Here is a 19,730-nt window from a genome sequence, read left to right as displayed (position 1 = left end):
ACCCTGTTTAAAAAAAAAAAAAAAAAAGACTGCTTTTTTGTTTTTGTTTTTTTTGAGACGGAGTCTCACTCTGTCGCCCAGGCTGCAGTGCAGTGGCAGGATCTCAGCTCACTGCAAGCTCCGCCTCCCGGGTTCATGCCATTCTCCTGCCTCAGCCTCCCAAGTAGCTGGGACTACAGGCGCCCGCCACCATGCCCAGCTAATTTTTTGTATTTTTAGTAGAGACGGGGTTTTACTGTGTTAGCCAGGATGGTCTCGATCTCCTGACCTTGTAATCCGCCCGCCTCAGCTTCCCAAAGTGCTGGGATTACAGTTGTGAGCCACCGCGCCCGGCCTAAAGAGACTGTTAATAATCATCCAAATGAAAAGGGATGGCTTTGTGTGGCAGTAAAGAGATGGGGGCAGATTTGATAACTATTTATGAAGCAAAATCAAGAATACTTGGTTAATAATTTGACATGGCAGGAGAGGGCAGAGGTAAGGATGATTCCTAAGTTTCTAGTTTAAGTACTGTATGGCAGCAGGTGTTGTCTTTCTGTTGTTTAAGGAACACCGTGGTAAAGCAGGTTTTGGAGAGGAAGATCAAAAAAGTCCAGTTTTGGGCCGGGCGTGGTGGCTCACGCCTGTAATCCCAGCACTTTGGAAGGCCCCAGGTAGGTGGATCACCTGAGGTCAGGAGTTTGAGATCGGCCTGGCTAACATGGTGAAACCCCGTTTCTACTAAAAATACAAAAATTACCCAGGCATGATGGCGTGCGCCTGTAATACCAGCTACTTGGGAGGCTGAGGCAGGAGAATTGCTTGAACCCAAGAGGTGGAGGTTGCCGTGAGCCGAGATCGCATCACTCCACTCCAGCCTGGGCAACAGAGTGAGACTCCATCTCCAAAAAAACAAAACAAAAAAGTCCAGTTTTGATGTACTTATGAAGTAACAGTGTGCTGAGTGATATAAGCAAGATGGAGAATAGGAAACCCCAGACCCTCATTCTCCCATAGAGACATCAACTTAACAACATCATATGGACAAAATTGCCTGAGAACTCCAAAAACCAGTTGAGAGTTTGCAGCACCCAAAGGTGCACAAAGCCAAGAGATGCAATGAAACAGGTAGGAAACGGTGTGGCATTTTACTTGCCACTGGTAGAGAACAGCAAGGACAATTGTCATAGTTACAGCAAGACAAGTGGGGATTTACAGTCAAAGAGCAGAGTGCAGGGTGGTGGTGGGGTGGGGGTAGAGGCGGGCATTGGATGGAAAATTACTAAGAGGCAACGTCAAGGGAAGGGTGACATTCTGGTAAAACTGATTTGACAGGATTCTTGCTGAAGGCAGACCAGGATGATCGAATGTCATCTGGAGGATGGTGGAGGATGATGAATTTGATTAGATGTCAAGAGTGGAGGATTCTTGCTAAAACTGCAAGAAATAGTTTTGTGATGCAAAGATGAATACAGGAGCTCAAAGGTCAAGTCCTGGTTAAGTAGAGGGTTCAGAGGAATCTGACTAAAGTGTGGCCAAGGAGAGATTATTTGTCACCCTACCTATTATCCCTAGCACACTGTGGTATAATTGGAAGAAAATTTCCAATCCTCTTCTCCCTCAAGAGAGAAAAAGAGAAGGGAACCAACCATGAGTCCAATGCGCAGGCCTTTTGACAGTTCGCCCAAGGAGCAGATTTCTATCTCTCCTGACTTGGAGTGCTGATGGAAACAGCGGTTTAAATGCCAGGCTGGGGTCACTGAGATCAAAGGTGAGTGCCACAGCTTGTTATGGCAACAATAAGACTGTAGTACCACAGACAGACACCAAGGGGAGCAAGAGATTATGGGCTGCAGAAAAGAGGCAAGCAAACCTTTGAGGAATTATATCCACAGCCCAGAAAAGACTTATTGCCAAAAAGAAGTTAGAAAAAGCCCTAGAATCTCTAGCGGGTTGACTGGTGAAGGTCTTACCCTGTATAAAGCCAGCCTGAAATGCCCAACGCTTAAAAAAAGATTGCAAGCATACAAAGAAGCGGAGAAACATGGCCCAAATAAATACAATAAATCTCTAGAAACTGACCCTAAAGATATGGAGATCTCTTAATTACCTGACAAATAATCCAAAATAATCATCCTAAAGATGCTCAATGAGCTAAAAGAGAACATACACCACAAAACAAAATCAGGAAAACAATGCATGTACAAAATGAGGGTATCAACAAAGAGACAGAAACTATAGAAAAGAACCAAATGAAAATTCTGGAGCTGAAGAATATAATAACTGAATGGAAAAATTGACTGGAGGGTTCATACTTGATCAAAGAGAAGAAAGAGTCAGTAACTTTGAAAACAGTTCATTTGAAATTATTGAGTCAGAGGGAAAAAAATGAAGAAAAATGAAGGGAACTTAAGGAGCTTATGGGACAACATCGAATGAAACAACATATGGACTACGGATATCCCAAACATAGAAGAGAGACAGCATTGAGATCCTACTTGAAGAAATAATGACCCTGTATTAGTCTGTTTTCATGCTGCTGATAAAGACATACCTGAGGCTGGGCAGTTTACAAAAGAAAGAGATATATTGGACTTACAGTTCCATGTGGCTGGGGAGACCTCACAATCATGGCGAAAGGTGAAAGGCGCATCTCACATTGTAGCAGACAAGAGAAGAGAGCTTGTGCAGGAAAACTCCCGTTTTTTTAAAAACCATCAGATCTCATGAGACTCACTCACCATCATGAGAACATCACAGGAAAGACCCACCCTTATAATTCAATCACCTCCACCAGGTTCCTCCCACAACACATGGGAATTGTGAGAGTTACAATTCAAGATGAGATTTGGGTGAGACACAGCCAACCCATATCAGACCCCAAATTTCCCAAATTTGAGGAAAGAAATTGCCATACAAATTCAAGAAGCTCAACAAACTCCAATAAAAATAATCTCAGCAAAACCTATATAGAGTCATACTATAATCACATATTGTCAAAATTGCAAAGAGAATTTTGAAAGCAACAAAAGAAAAGTGACTGAGGTGGAGCCAAGATGGCCGAATACGAACAGCTCCAGTCTGCAGCTCCCAGCATGAGCAATGCAGAAGACGAATGATTTCTGCATTTCCAACTGAGGTACTGGGTGCATCTCACTGGGGACTGTCGGACAGTGGGTGCAGGACAGTGGGTGCGGGACACTGGGTGCAGTGCACCGAGCCTGAGCCGAAGCAGGGCGAGGCATTGCCTCACCCAGGAAGTGCAAGGGGTAGGGGAATTCCCTTTCCTAGGGGTGACGGACGGCACCTGGAAAATCGGGTCACCCCCACCCTAATACTGCGCTTTTCCGACAGTCTTAGCAAACGGCACACCAGGAGATTATATCCTGCACATGGCTTGGAGGGTCCTACGCCAATGGAGCCTCACTCATTGCTAGCACAGCAATCTGAGATTGAACTGCAAGGCGGCACAGAGGCTGGGGGAGGGGCGCCCGCCATTGCTGAGGCTTGAGGAGGTAAACAAAGCAGCTGGGAAGCTCAAACTGGGTGGAGCCCACTGCAGCTCAAGGAGACCTGCCTGCCTCTGTAGACTCCACCTCTGGAGGCAGGGCATAGCCAAACAAAAGGCAGCAGAAACCTCTGCAGACTTAAATGTCCCTGTCTGACAGCTTTGAAGAGAGTAGTGGTTCTCCCCACACGCAGCTGGAGATCTGAGAACGGAGAGACTGCCTCCTCAAGTGGGTCCCTGACCCCCGAGTAGCCTAACTGGGAGGCACCCCCCAGTAGGGGCAGACTGACACCTCACACGGCCGGGTACTCCTCTGAGACAAAACTTTCAGAGGAACGATCAGGCAGCAAGATTTGCTGTTCACCAATATCCGCTGTTCTGCAGCCTCCGCTGCTGATACCCAGGCAAACAGGGTCTGGAGTGGACCTCTGGCAAACTCCAACAGACCTGCAGCTGAGAGTCCTGACTGTTAGAAGGAAAACTAACAAACAGAAAGGACATCCACACCAAAACCCCATCTGTATGTCACCATCATCAAAGACCAAAAGTAGATAAAACCACAAAGATGGGGAAAAAACAGAGCAGAAAAACTGAAAAATCTAAAAATCAGAGCTCCTCTCCTCCTCCAAAGGAACGCAGCTCCTCACCAGCAACGGAACAAAGCTGGATGGAGAATGACTTTGACAAGTTGAGAGAAGGCTTCAGACGATCAAACTACTCCGAGCTAAAGGAGGAAGTTCAAACCCATAGCAAAGAAGTTAAAAACCTTGAAAAAAGATTAGACGAATGGCTAACTAGAATAACCAATGCAGAGAAGTCCTTAAAGGACCTGATGGAGCTGAAAACCAAGGCACGAGAACTACGTGACGAACGCACAAGCCTCAGTAGCTGATTCGATCAACTGCAAGAAAGGGTATCAGTGATGGAAGATCAAATGAATGAAATGAAGAGAGAAGAGAAGTTTAGAGAAAAAAGAATAAAAAGAAACAAACAAAGCCTCCAAGAAATATGGGACTATGTGAAAAGACCAAATCTACGTCTCATTGGTGTACCTGAAAGTGACGGGGAGAATGGAACCAAGTTGGAAAACACTCTGCAGGATATTATCCAGGAGAACTTCCCCAGTCTAGCAAGGCAAGCCAACATTCAGATTCAGGAAATACAGAGAATGCCACAAAGATAATCCTCAAGAAGAGCAACTCCAACACACATAATTCTCAGATTCACCGAAGGTGAAATGAAGGAGAAAATGTTAAGGGCAGCCAGAGAGAAAGGTCAGGTTACCCACAAAGGGAAGCCCATCAGACTAACAGCTGATCTCTCGGCAGAAATTCTACAAGCCAGAAGAGAGTGGGGGCCAATATTCAACATTCTTAAAGAAAATAATTTTCAACCCAGAATTTCACGTCCAGCCAAACTAAGCTTCAGAAGTGAAGGAGAAATAAAATCCTTTACAGACAAGCAAATGCTGAGAGATTTTCTCACCACCAGGCCTGCTCTACAAGAGCTCCTGAAGGAAGCACTAAACATGGAAAGGAACAACCGGTACCAGCCACTGCAAAAACATGCCAAATTGTAAAGACCATCGAGACTGGGAAGAAACTGCATCAACTAACGAGCAAAATAACCAGCTAACATCATAATGACAGGATCAAATTCACACATAACAATATTAACCTTAAATGTAAATGGGCTAAATGCTCCAATTAAAAGACACAGACTGGCAAATTGGATAAAAAGTCAAGACTCATCAGTGTGCTATATTCAGGAAACCCATCTCACGTGCGCAGACACACATAGGCTCAAAATAAAGGGATGGAGGAAGATCTACCAAGCAAATGGAAAACAAAAAAAGGCAGGGATTGCAATCCTAGTCTCTGATAAAACAGACTTTAAACCAACAAAGATCAAAAGAGACAAAGAAGGCCATTGCATAATGGTAAAGGGATCAATTCAACAAGAAGAGCTAACTATCCTAAATATATATGCACCCAATACAGGAGCACCCAGATTCATAAAGCAAGTCCTTAGAGACCTACAAAGAGACTTAGACTCCCACACAATAATAATGAGAGACTTTAACACCCCACTGTCAACATTAGACACATCAATGAGACAGAAAGTTAACAAGGATATCCAGGAATTGAACTCAGCTCTGCACCAAGCAGACCTAATAGACAGCTACAGAACTCTCCACCCCAAATCAACAGAATATACATTCTTCTCACCACCACACCACACCTATTCCAAAATTGACCACATAGTTGGAAGTAAAGCACTCCTCAGCAAATGTAAAATAACAGAAATTATAACTGTGTCTCAGACCACAGTGCAATCAAACTAGAACTCAGGATTAAGAAACTCACTGAAAACCACTCAACTGCATGGAAACTGAACAACCTGCTCCTGAATGACTACCGCGTACATAACAAAATAAAGGCAGAAATAAAGACGTTCTTTGAAACCAACGAGAACAAAGACACAACATACCAGAATCTCTGGGACACATTCAAAGCAGTGTGTAGAGGGAAATTTATAGCACTAAATGCCCACAAGAGAAAGCAGGAAAGATCTAAAATTGACACCCTAACATCACAATTAAAAGAATTAGTGAAGCAAGAGCAAACACATTCAAAAGCTAGCAGAAGGCAAGAAATAACTAAGATCAGAGCAGAACTGAAGGAGACAGAGACACAAAAAACCCTTCAAAAAAATCAATGAATCCAGGAGCTGGTTTTCTGAAAAGATCAACAACATTGATAGACTGCTAGCAAGACTAATAAAGAAGAAAAGAGAGAAGAATCAAATAGACGCAATAAAAAATGATAAAGGGGATATCACCACCGATCCCACACAAATACAAATTATCATCAGAGAATACTATAAACACCTCTATGCAAATAAACTAGAAAATCTGGAAGAAATGGATAAATTCCTCGACACATACACCCTCCCAAGACTAAACCAGGAAGAAGCTGAATCTTTGAATAGACCAGTAACAGGCTCTGAAATTGAGGCAATAATTAATAGCTTACCAACCAAAAAGAGTCCAGGACCAGATGGATTCACAGCTCAATTCTACCAGAGGTACAAGGAGGAGCTGGTACCATTCCTTCTGAAATTATTCCAATCAATAGAAAAAGAGGGAATCCTCCCTAACTCATTTTATGAGGCCAGGATCATCCTGATACCAAAGCCTGGCAGAGACACAACAAAAAAAAAGAGAATTTTAGACCAATATCCCTGATGAACATCGATGCAAAAATCCTCAATACAATACTGGCAAACCGAATCCAGCAGCACATCAAAAAGCTTATCCACCATGATCAAGTGGGCTTCATCCCTGGGATGCAAGGCTGGTTCAACATACACAAATCAATAAAAATAATCCAGCATATAAACAGAACCAATGACAAAAACCACATGATTATCTCAATAGATGCAGAAAAGGCCTTTGACAAAATTCAACATCCCTTCATGGTAAAAACTCTCAATAAATTAGGTATTGATGGGACGTATCTCAAAATAATAAGAGCTATCTATGACAAACCCACAGCCAATATCATACTGAATGGGCAAAAACTGGAAGCATTCCCTTTGAAAACTGGCACAAGACAGGGATGCCCCCTCTCACCACTCCTATTCAACACAGTGTTGGAAGTTCTGGCCAGGGCAATCAGGCAGGAGAAAGAAATAAAGGGTATTCAATTAGGAAAAGAGGAAGTCAAATTATCCCTGTTTGCAGATGACATGATTGTATATCTAAAAAACCCCATCGTCTCAGCCCAAAATCTTCTTAAGCTGATAAGCAACTTCAGCAAAGTCTCAGGATACAAAATCAATGTGCAAAAATCACAAGCATTCTTATACACCAATAACAGAGAGCCAAATCATGAGTGAACTCCCATTCACAATTGCTTCAAAGAGAATAAAATACCTAGGAATCCAACTTACAAGGGACGTGAAGGACCTCTTCAAGGAGAACTACAAACCCCTGTTCAACAAAATAAAAGAGGACACAAACAAATGGAAGAATATTCCATGCTCATGGATAGGAAGAGTCAATATTGTAAAAATGGCCATACTGCCCAAGGTAATTTATAGATTCAATGCCATCCCCATCAAGCTACCAATGACTTTCTTCACAGAATTGGAAAAAACTACTTTAAAGTTCATATGGAACCAAAAAAGAGCCCTCATTGCCAAGACAATCCTAAGCCAAAAGAACAAAGCTGGAGGAATCACGCTACCTGACTTCAAACTATACTGCAAGGCTACAGTAACCAAAACAGCATGGTACTGGTACCAAAACAGAGATATAGACCAATGGAACAGAACAGAGCCCTCAGAAATAATACCACACATCTACACCCATCTGATCTTTGACAAACCTGACAAAAACAAAAAATGGGGAAAGGATTCCCTATTTAATAAATGGTGCTGGGAAAACTGGCTAGCCATAGGTAGAAAGCTGAAACTGGATCCCTTCTTTATACCTTATACAAAAATTAATTCAAGATGGATTAAAGACTTAAATGTTAGACCTAAAACCATAAAAACCCTAGAAGAAAACCTAGGCATTACCATTCAGGACATAGGCATGGGCAAGGACTTCATGTCTAAAACACCAAAAGCCATGGCAAGAAAAGCCAAAATTGACAAATGGGATCTAATTAAACTAAAGAGCTTCTGCACAACAAAAGAAACTATCATCAGAGTGAACAGGCAACCTACAGAATGGGAGAAAATTTTTGCAATCTACTCATCTGACAAAGGGCTAATATCCAGAATCTACAATGAACTCAAACAAATTTACAAGAAAAAAACAACCCCATCAACAAGTGGGCAAAGGATATGAACAGACACTTCTCGAAAGAAGACATTTATGCAGCCAAAAGACACATGAAAAAATGCTCATCATCACTGGCCATCAGAGAAATGCAAATCAAAACCACAATGAGATACCATCTGACACCAGTTAGAATGGTGATCATTAAAAAGTCAGGAAACAACAGGTGCTGGAGAGGATGTGGAGAAATAGCAACACTTTTACACTGTTGGTGGGACTGTAAACTAGTTCAACCATTGTGGAAGACAGTGTGGCGATTCCTCAAGGATCTAGAACTAGAAATACCATTTGACCCAGCCATCCCATTACTGGGTATATACCCAAAGGATTATAAATCACGCTGCTATAAAGACACATGCACACGTATGTTTACTGCGGCACTATTCACAATAGCAAAGACTTGGAACCAAGCCAAATGTCCAACAATGATAGACTGGATTAAGAAAATGTGGCACATATACACCATGGAATACTATGCAGCCATAAAAAATGATGAGTTCATGTCCTTTGTAGGGACATGGACGAAGCTGGAAACCATCATTCTCAGCAAACTATTGCAAGGACAAAAAACCAAACACCGCATATTCTCACTCATAGGTGGGAATTGAACAATGAGAACACTTGGACACAGGAAGGGGAACATCACGCTCCGGGGCCTGTCATGGGGTTGGGGGAAGGAGGGAGGGATAGCATTAGGAGATATACCTAATGTAAATGACGAGTTAAAGGGTACAGCACACCAACATGGCACATGTATACATATGTAACAAACCTGCACATTGTGCACATGCACCCTAGAACTTAAAGTATAAAAAAAAAAAAGACATAGAAAAAAAATGTATTGTATTCTTGAAACCAATTGCTAAAAGAGTAGATTTTGTGTTCTCACCACACCAAAAAAAGGATAAGTAGGTGTGGTAATGCATATGTTATTTAGCTCAATTTAGCCATTCCACATTGTATACATATTTCAAAACAACATGTATACAACAAGTATATACAAATTTGATTTTTCATTTAAAAATAAAATTCTTGGCCAGGTGCGGTGGCTCACGCCCGTAATCCCAGCACTGTGGGAGGCTGAGGCGGGCAGATCACTTGAGGCCAGGGGTTGAAGACCAGCGCGGCCAACATGGCGAAACCCCATCTCTACTAAAAATACAAAAAAAAATTAGCCAGGGCACACACCTGTAATCCCAGCTACTTGGGAGGCTGAAGCAGGAGAATCACTTGAACCCAGGAGGCAGAGTTTGCAGTGAGACGACATCATGCCACTCCACTCCAGCCTGGGGGACAGAGTAAGACTCTCTCTTATAAAATAATAATAAAATAAAATAAAATAAAATAAAAGTCTTAGGAATAAACTTAACCAAGGAGGTGAAAGACTTACACACTGAAAACTACAGGACATTGCTGAAAGAAATGAAAGAAGACAAAAATAAATGGAAAAACATTCCATGTTCATGGATTGGAAGATTTTATATTGTTAAAATGTCCATACAACCCAAAGTGATCTACAGTTCAGTACAATCCCTATCAAAATTCCAGGGGCCTTTTTTGCAGGAATAGAAAAAAAAGATCCTAAAATTCATATTGAATTGCAAAGGACCTTGAATAGCCAACACAATCTTGAAAAAGAACAAAAATGGAGGCCTCACACTTTCTGATTTCAAAACATATTAGAAAGGAACAGTAATGAAGACACTGTGATCCTTACTTAAATATAGACATATAGACCAATGGCACAGAATAAAGAGCCCAGAAATAAACTCTCATGTATGTGGTAAAATGATCTTCAACAAGGGTGAGTAGACCACACGATGGAGAAAGGACAGTTTCTTCAACAAACACTGCTGGAAAACTGGATATCTAAAATCAAAAAAAATGAAGTTGGATCTTTTCCTTCCAGCATATAAAAAATTAGCTAAAAATGAGCTGGGAATGGTGGCTCATGCCTATAATCCCAGCACTTTGGGAGGCCAAGGCGGGTGGATCACTTGAGGTCAGGAATTTGAGACCAGCCTGGGCAACATGGTGAAACCCTGTCTCTACTAAAAATACAAAAATTAGCAGGGCATGGTAGCACACGCCTGTAATACCAGATAGACACAGGAAGGGGAACATCACTCAGCCTCTCAGGAGGCTGAGACAGGAGAATCACCTGAACCCGGGAGGCAGAGGTTGCAGTGAGCTGAGATCATGCCACTGCACTCCAGCCTGGGTGACAGAGAGAGACTCCATCTCAAAAAAAAATTAGCTAAAAATGGATTAAAGATCTAAATGAGGCTAGGTGTGGTGGCTCACGCCTGTAATCCCAGCACTTTGGGAGGCCAAGGCAGGCTGATTACCTGAGGTTGGGAGTTCGAGACCAGCCTGACCAACAGGGATAAACCCCGACTCTACTAATAATACAAAAATTAGCCAGGCATGGTGGCGCATGCCTGTAATCCCAGCTACTTGGGAGGCTGAGGCACGAGAATTGCTTGAACCCAGGAGGCAGAGGTTGCAGTGAGCCGAGATCACGCCATGCACTTCAGCCAGGGCAACAAGAGTGAAACTCTGACTCAAAAAATAAAAGATCTAAATGAAAGATGGAAAACTCTAAAACTCCTGGAAGAAAACGGGGAAATCTTCATGACATTGGATTTGGCAATGGTTTCTTGGCTATGATACCAAAAGCATAGGCAACAAAAGCAAAAACAGACAAATGAGGCCACACGAAACTCAAAAATTTCTGTATAGCAAAGGAAATAATCAACAAATTAAAGGCAACATACAGACTAGAAGGAACTATTTAAATTATATTTATGATAAGGGTTTAGTATCCAGAAGATACAAAGAACTCCTACCACTGAACAACAAAAACCAAATAACCTGATTTTAAAAAGAGCAAAAGACGAAGACATTTCTTTTGAGAAGATGTACAAATGGCCAAGAAGCATACGAAAAGATGTTTTAACATCAGTAATCACTAGAGAAATGTAAATCAAAATCACAATGAAATACCTTACACTCATTAGGATGGGCCACTATAAAAAATTAAAAGCCAGAAAATAACAAGTGGCAAATATGTGGAGAAACTGGAATCCTTGTGCACTGCTGGTAGGAATATAAAATGGTGCAACTACTATAGAAATCAGTGTGGAGATTCCTCAAAAAATTAGAAACATTATCATATCCAACAATCCTTAAACAAAAGAATTCATCCTCTGCTGGATGATAAGGTTAAGAGAGCAAAAATCAAACAAACAGGCCAGGCATGGTCACTCACACCTGTAACCCCAGCAGTTTGGGAGGCCAAGGCAGGCAGATCACCTGAGACCAGGAGTTCGAGACCAGCCTAGCCAACATTGCGAAACCCCATCTCTACTAAAAATACAAAAATTAGCCAGGTGTGGTGGTGCGTGCCTTTAATCCCAGCTACTTGGGAGGCTGAGGCAGGAGAATCACTAGAACCCGGGAGGCGGAGGTTGCAGTAAGCCGAGATCACGCCTCTGCACTCCAGCCTGGGTGACAACTCCGTCTCAAAACAACAACAACAACAACAAACCAAAAACAAAACACCCAAAAGAATTCAAAGCAGGATCTCAAAGAGATATTTACACACCCACGTTGATAGTAGCATTATTCACAATAGCCAAGAGGTAGAAGCAAATGAAATGTCTGTCCACAAATGAACAAATAAACAGAATGTGAAACAGACATACAATGTTATATAATACAGCCTTGAAAAGATAGGAAATTCTGACATTTGGTACACATGGATGGACATCTAGGACACTACACTGAGTGAAATAATGCAGCCACAAAATACAAATACTGCATGACCCCACTCATATGAAGTATCTAACGCAGTCAAACCCATTGAAATGGAAAGTAGAATGGTGGTTTCCAGGGCTGAGAGAAAGGAAGAGATGGGCAGTAGATTTTTTTTTTTTTTTTTTTTTTTTGAGACAGTCTTGCTCTGTCGCCCAGGCTGGAGTGCAGTGGTGCGATCTTGGCTCACTGAGACCTCTGCCTCCGGGGTTCAAGCGATTCTCTTGCCTCAGCCTCCGAGTAGCTGGGATTACAGGACGTGCCACCATGCCCAGCTAATTTTTATATTTTTGGTAGAGACAGGGTTTCACCACGTTAGCCAGGCTGGTCTTGAACTCCTGGCCTCAAGTGATCCGCCTGCCTCGACCTCCCAAAGTGCTGCGATTACAGTCATGAGCCACGGCATCGGTTGGCAGTTGATATTTAATAGGAATAAAGTTTCTTTTTTCAAGATGAAAAGTTCTAGGGATCTATTATACAACAATGTGCATATACTTAGCACTGCTGAACTGTATACTTAAAAATGGTAAAGCTAGGCCGGGCGCAGTGGTTAAAATGCTAAATTTTATGTCTTTTTTTTTATTTACCATAATTGAAAAAAGAAAAAAGGAAATAACAGAATGCCCAAACGGATATTTGGGCCAAGAGGAGCTCAAGAGAGAGATCTGGACTTGAGATAAGATTAGAAAACAACCAACCTGTTGATGACAATTAATCCATGAGGGGATGAGGACACCAGAAAAGAATGTAGAGTTAGAAAATGGCTTGCGATCCTGAGCCCTGCCATCACTTAGGAAATGGCAGAGGAAGGGCCTGCAAATGAGCCTGGGAATGACTGGCCAAATTGGAGGCAAAAACAAAGGCAGAATGGAGGAGGAAGGAGCGGTGGGCGTGCGCAGTAAAGTCACGGGCATTGCGCTAGAATATTGCTTAGAGCACGCCATTCAGGACAGCCCTAAACTGACACTTGGTACACATGGATATCAATGTAATTACTCATTCTGTGGTAGGTATCGGGGTGGTTTCCTGACGTGGCTGAATGGCAGAAACACAATGTTAAGCAAAATATGCTGGACACAAGCAACCACATACTGTGTGATTCCACTAATACCAAGTACACAAACAGGCATGGTTGGAAGGAAGTGGGAAGGAGGCTTCTGGGGTGTGGGGTTTTATTTCTTGACTTGGACGTCAGTTTCTTGTGTTCAATTTGTGAAAAATCACCAATCTATATACTTACATGATTAAGAATATAGAAAGCTATTGAGTCCAAGTGTGGTGGCCCACACTTGTAATCCCAGCACTTTGGGAGGCCAAGGTGGGAGGATCATTTGAGGCCAGGAGTACAAGACCAGACTGGACAACATAGCAAGACCCCCTCTTTTTTTAAAAAAAAAAATTAGCCAGGTATGGTGGTACACCTGTAATCACAGTGCTTTGAGAGGCTCAGGTGGGAGGATCACTTGAGTTCAGGAGTTCAAGACTATACAGTGAGCTACGATCGTGCCACTGCACTCTAGCCTGGGTGACAGGGCAAGACCTGTTTCTAAAAATAAAAAAAAATTAAAAAAAAAAAAGCTTTTGAGAGGTATAGAAAGATAAGGACTAAAAAATGGTTTTTGGAGCAGGTGTGGTGGCTCACACCTGTAATCCCAACACTTTCAGAGGCTGAGGCAGGAGGATCACTTGAAGCCAGGGGTTCAAGACCAGCCTGGGCAACAAAGCAAGACCCTGTCTCTCTCTAAAAACAAACAAACAAAAACCCCAAAAAAGTGGTCTTTGGATGAGAATTTTGGAATAGTGCTAGACAGAAGGAAGCATGAGATAATACTAGTGAGAGAGTAGACTGCAGAGTGAGATAGGAAGATAAGCCACCCTGGACAAATCTGTAAAGGTTAGGAATGAACCCAGTGACGGCTGAAGGGCAGGTGACAAAGTGAGGTTGAGAGATGCGTTTTTTTCTTTAATTTGTTTAAAATGGGAAATGATACCAATTGCTCAGTTGCCTATTCCCCTTGCCCAGCCTCAGGTCTGAGTATAATTCTCAGGCCTGATGGGGTTTGCAGTGTGGGCTTTATCTCCTTGTAGTCCTGGGGAGGAATGGAGGAGTAGCGTTGGTGCCACTAGGGTGTCGTTCTCTTAAGACAGATACAATGCTGTTTCTTTACAATACTGGCTAAGTTGCTGTCACAAAAATACTCCAAATATGCAGTAGCTCAAACAAGATAAAGCATATTTCTTTCTCACTTAGCAGCCTGAAAGTGGGCAGGTGGTTCTGGGTGAGTAGGTGTTTTTGTTCCATTTCATCCAGGGACACCCTTTTGTCTTGGGGCCTGCAGCTGCACCAGGGTGTGCCATCTGCTACAGGGTGGAGGTGACTCAAAGCCCATGAGTAAGGAAAATGGTAGGATGCAGTAAGTAAGTTGTTTCCCTTTTTGAGGACCTGACCTGGAAGTTGCAATCATCAAATCTACTTACATTCCATTGGCTAGAAATGAGTGTCATGGCCACTCCCAGATGCAAGGGTGTGCACTCCAGCTGGATGGCTGGCCAGAATCAAATCCTGGGAATTGACACAGGAAGACAATTAGCCTTCTCTGCTTCCAATGCCAACTCCAGCAATATCTTTCCAGAATTGAGACCTCTCATACTGTTCTGGTCTGTAGGGCAGATATTTGCTGGATACCTGGTATAAGCAAATCAGCTGCTTAGAGCTGGTGTCCCTTTCTTCTGAGACAGAGTCTTGTTCTGTCATCCAGGCTGGAGTGCCATGGTGCAGTCTGGGCTCACTGCAACATCCACCTCCTGGGTTCAAGTGATTGTCATGCCTCAGACTCCCAAGTAGCCAGCATTACAGGTACACACCACCACACCTGGCTAATTTCTGTATATTTTTTTGTAGAGATGGGGTTTCTGCTGTGCTGCCCAGGCTTGTCTCGAACTCCTAAGCTCAGGTGATCCACCTGCCTCTGCCTCCCAAAGTGCTGGGATTACAGGCATGAGTCACTGCACCTGGCCGCTGGCGCCCCTTTTGATTGGGCCACCCTCTGTCTACCTGGCCATGTCTGGATGCAAGTGTCGTGAGACATCTTAACTGTCACCCCACTCCTCCCTAGCTAGCACGGCAGAAGAGGTTTTCCTGGATTTCTTCCTTATGACTAATCTAAAATAGGAAGATCTTCTCCTTCAGTGCATTTATTTTTCATAATACCCAGGCAGAGTTCTCTTGCTTTGTCTTTCTGCTTATTACCTATTGAAAGGAAAGTTTCCAAATATAGGCAAAAATTCTTCACTTTTTCTTTTAATTTCAGTGCTCATATGTAGATCATTACAAACAGAACTTCTAAAAATGTTAGTAGTGACCAGCCAGGGCATTAGGCCAGGCCATAGCTCAGGATGCTGGAAGTCACTGAAGATGAAGGCAAGAACCACAGGAATGAGGGAGGTCTTGGGTGGCTGGTGGATGGGGGCGATGAGAACATGTAGGGAATGTCAAAGAAACCAGATTTTACACAAGGTAGAGGGGGAATGGCTTGCAAGTGGTTGTGTGGAGAAAGGCGGAAAGTGACCTTACACCTTTTACAAAACACAAATGTTCTATGACCTTACCTTTTACAAATCAAAACGATCACAGACTGAAATGTAAAAAGTGCAAAACTATCTAGGTGTGGTGGCATGCACCTCTCGTCCTTCTACTCGGGAGGCTGAGGCAGGAGGATCGCTTGAGCCCAGGAATTTGAGACTGTGGTGAGCCATGACTGTACCACTGCACTCCAGCCTAGGCAACAGAGGGAGGATCTGTCTCTGGGGAAAAAAAAAAAGAAAAGAAAAGTGCCAAACTAGAAAACTTCTAGAAGATAACAGCAGAAAATCTAGATGAACTTGGATTTGCCAATGAGCTTTTATATGCAACACCAAAAGCAAGATTCATGAAATAATTTCTTGAGACACCTAGTTTCCCTAAGTAAGAAGAAATGGATCAAGAGATCTGCACATGCACATTTTGCACACTGAGGGCCACAGTCTGGGTAGCCAGACCCTGGAAACAGACATATGCTAGGAATGCTGACATCAGCCAAAGACTGCTGGGTCTGACCTGCAGACCCTGGCCGCATGACAGATGAAGAAATGCACTCAGACACAGGTATCTATCCCCTGAAAGAGCAGGCTAGAGGTCCAGGCAGCTTCACAGAAAGAGCTGTAGCAGCCACCAGCCCTGACAAGCTGGCGCCCTGTGCATTTATTCAGTACAGATTTAATGACAAAGGTCTCGAGTAAACACCACTAGAGGGTAATTAACATTGCTGACCTCCCGAGTAGAGAGCAGTACTGCACCCACAGAGGACCAAAGGTCGGTCTTAGGACCACATGAGCAAACAAGCCATTTAGATGAACTCCTCTACATTCCTATGTATCTACGCCCTAAGCTTTTAAGAGAATTCAGTTGCCTTCAGCCAAATCTTTTACTGAAGCCATGCAAACCTCCCGGCCTTCCAAGAAGGTTTGTGTCTATTTCCTATAAGTTTATTTTTATAATTTCTCCCACCACCCTGACCGATCCCCTACAGTAACTTATTTGTGAATAAGGAACAATTTATTCCTCATCACACTGAGGAGCTGTGCGACCCTACCTGCTGGATCAGAGACAAACACCAAGTGCCTTCCTAACACCAATGTCATCCTGAACGTCAACAGAAAACACTGGCTGTGGAGAAGTTTTTTAAACCTCTTGAAGCATTTTGCCAATGACCAGATTTCAATCATCTTCATTTACAAAAATTTTAAAACCAGTGGCAACAAAGGCACAGTACTTAATAAAGCAACTAAGTTAGAAGTGCAAGACGCTGATTTATATGCTGTTGATAGATCTGGAGAGGCAGGACCATTTACTAGGCTGAAAAGGTGGTGGTCATCTGGTATCTTCCTAAAAAAGTATATCAAGGTCCTAATCCTTTTCCAGAAGGCAAACTGAGGCCTGGAACAAGACAAGGTCTTCTCCAAGGCCACACAACTAGTCAGTGACAGAGGATTCATTTCAAAGTCCTGTCCTTTCAGGTCTGTGCCTACAAATCAACACTTAATCTGACTATTTCAACCTGGCCAAAAGCAACACAAAACACCCAACCATGCATTTTAGGGGAAGAAAATAACGGAGGCAACTGAGAAGACAGACAGGGGCAAGTCCAATGTGGCCTCCCAGATAAACCTCAATGCACTTACTTCTTTTGGCACAGACACTTCCTTCTGAACTTTGAAGGAAAGTCACATCACATTGCACTCTGTCCATGTGAATTCAACCCCGCTGGGTTAACCAAACTTAAACGCATTAAATTCTACAAATAGGCCGGGCACAGTGGCTAACACCTGTAATCCCAGCACTTTGAGAGGCCGAGGCGGGTGGATCACCTGAGGTCGGGAGTTCGAGACCAGCCTGACCAACATGGAGAAACCCCATTTCTACTAAAAATACAAAATTAGCCAGGCGTGGTGGCACATGCCTGTAATCCCAGCTTCTCGGGAGGCTGAGGCAGGAGAATCGCTTGAACCCAGGAAGCAGAGGTTGCCGTGAGCCAAGATCGCGCCATTGCACTCCAGCCTGGACAACAAGAGCGAAACTCCGTCTCAATAAATTCATTCATTCATTCATTCCACAAATAGCCACTAGTAGAATTATTAAGATAGAAAACCATGATGGGTACTAACATTCACTCAGAAGGGCTGGGCTAAAACTAATTCACATACGTGTAGCTCTGGCTCGGAGGAGACACAGGGCTTGGAGGAAGCAAAACTGTTCAGCATGAATTAAAATTGATTTATGAGCTTGCTGTAGCACTTGGAATAGAAAAAAATAATCTTTTCAGCGCTTTTGACCCCTCTCTCAAATTACATCAGGGTGCGACTGAGGAACAACAGCGCAGACCACCCATCCTTCTCGATCCTTCGGGAAATTAACTTTTTTTTGGATGGGAGAGTCAGTAGATGAGGCTTCATTTTCCATCAGGGAACACAAACTGCTGCGGGAAGATCCCAGCTTCTGGCTAAAGCTGGGGCAGTAGGAGCCGCCAGCTAGCTAGCCATCCAGTCCCCAGAGCCCGGGCTTTAGGTAAAGCGTGGAGATGCAAACCAGTTTTGCCGCCAAGGACCCGGCCAGGCGCGTCTTCTCCCGGGCCTCACAAGGAACAGGTTAGGGAGACGACTTCCAACTTTCTCTGCCCGGCCCTAAACGCTCGCCGCCCCTGCCCAGCCACCCACTCTCTGGCAGCCTGCAAGTCTCCATGCAGAAGCGGCTCCGTGCTGCCCAGCGCTGGCGCCCCGGCGGCGCGGAGCCCGGCCAAATGATAGGACTTGAGGGCAAAGGAGGACAAAAGTTCCCACGAGGTGGGCACTGCGGGAAGGAGGCCGACGACCCCGAGATTCTCCGGCGACCCCGGCGGGCCACCCCGGGGCGGTGAGGGTTCCCGCGGCACGTGTGCGGCGGCGCCGGCCGCTTCCCCCGCCGCCCGGGAAGGTCACGCCGCCCGGACGCCGAGGCTCTCCCCGTGCCCCGCTCCCTCCGCCCCGCACACTCCCCGCAGCTGGAGGCGCCGGGTCGGTCTGCGCTTACCGCCTCGCCAGCGTGGCCACGTCCCGCTCAGGCTGCGCCGCCTGCTCTTGGCTCCGGGTAGCCGGCCGGGGCGGCCACTTAACACCGACGTCGGCCGCGGTCGGCTCTCCGCGCAGGCAGCCCTAGAGGCGGCCCCGCGAAGCTCAGGAGCGCCCCTGCGACCCGGGGGCAGACTGCGCAGTGCCACGCTCAGGCAGGTACCTGGAGCCGCCGCAGCCCACCGGCTCTGCCGCCATCCCCCGCACGGGAAGCGGAAGTGGGCGCGGGACCGCGGCGCGCCCAGCCCGGCCAGTTCCCGCGCCCAGCCTAGCCCGCGAGCTGGCGTGTCGCTGCTGCCTGCCCTAGGAAAGCTGTGGGGCAGGGCCTGCGCCTCTGGGGACTTTCCCGCCTCTGGGCTCCCGGAGACCCTCTCTGAGGTCGGACCCTCAGCCAGCTGGGCTGAGGATGAGGGCTGGGGGCTGGGAATGTCAGTGGTTGGGAGGACTTAAGTTTTTAGCTAGTTTGACCTTGTTGGGAGGCTAAGGCCTTATTTATAAATTATATTTGAGTACAAAATTATACTCGGGATTCAAGGCCCTAATATAAAATACAGTTGAGTATGAAAATACAGGAATTAGCCGGGCGCGGTGGCTCACACCTGTAATCCCAGCACTTTGGGAGGCTGAGGCGGGCGGATCACTTGAGGTTAGGAGTGCAAGACTAGTCTGGCCAGCATGGTGAAACCCCGTCTCTACTAAAAATACAAAAATTAGCCGGGCGTGGTGGTGCGTGCCTGTAATCCCAGCTACCCGGGAGGCTGAGGCAGGAGAATCGCTGGAACCCGGGAAACAGAGGTTGCAGTGAGCTGAGATTGCACCACTACACTCCAGCCTGGGCGACAGAGCGAGACTCCGTCTAAAACACACACACACACACACAAAACAAAAAACTGGAATTGTAGTGATGGAAAGTAAATTCCCTTATTACCAGTTGTA

The 19,730-nt window shown here is 44.7% G+C and overlaps 1 annotated feature.

The window, feature by feature from the left end:
- Window positions 18,562–19,161: a silencer, noted in NCBI's record as "silent region_5138". NCBI's record gives its function as "represses an Ori minimal core promoter by ATAC-STARR-seq in GM12878 lymphoblastoid cells {active_cell/tissue: GM12878}" and the evidence as "EXISTENCE:reporter gene assay evidence [ECO:0000049][PMID:35858748]".

This window comes from Homo sapiens, chromosome 13, assembly GCF_000001405.40.
Source record: "Homo sapiens chromosome 13, GRCh38.p14 Primary Assembly".
Classification (NCBI taxonomy): domain Eukaryota; kingdom Metazoa; phylum Chordata; class Mammalia; order Primates; family Hominidae; genus Homo; species Homo sapiens.
Note: the sequence above shows the minus strand (reverse complement) of the source record. Positions and strands in the feature narration are given on the sequence as shown.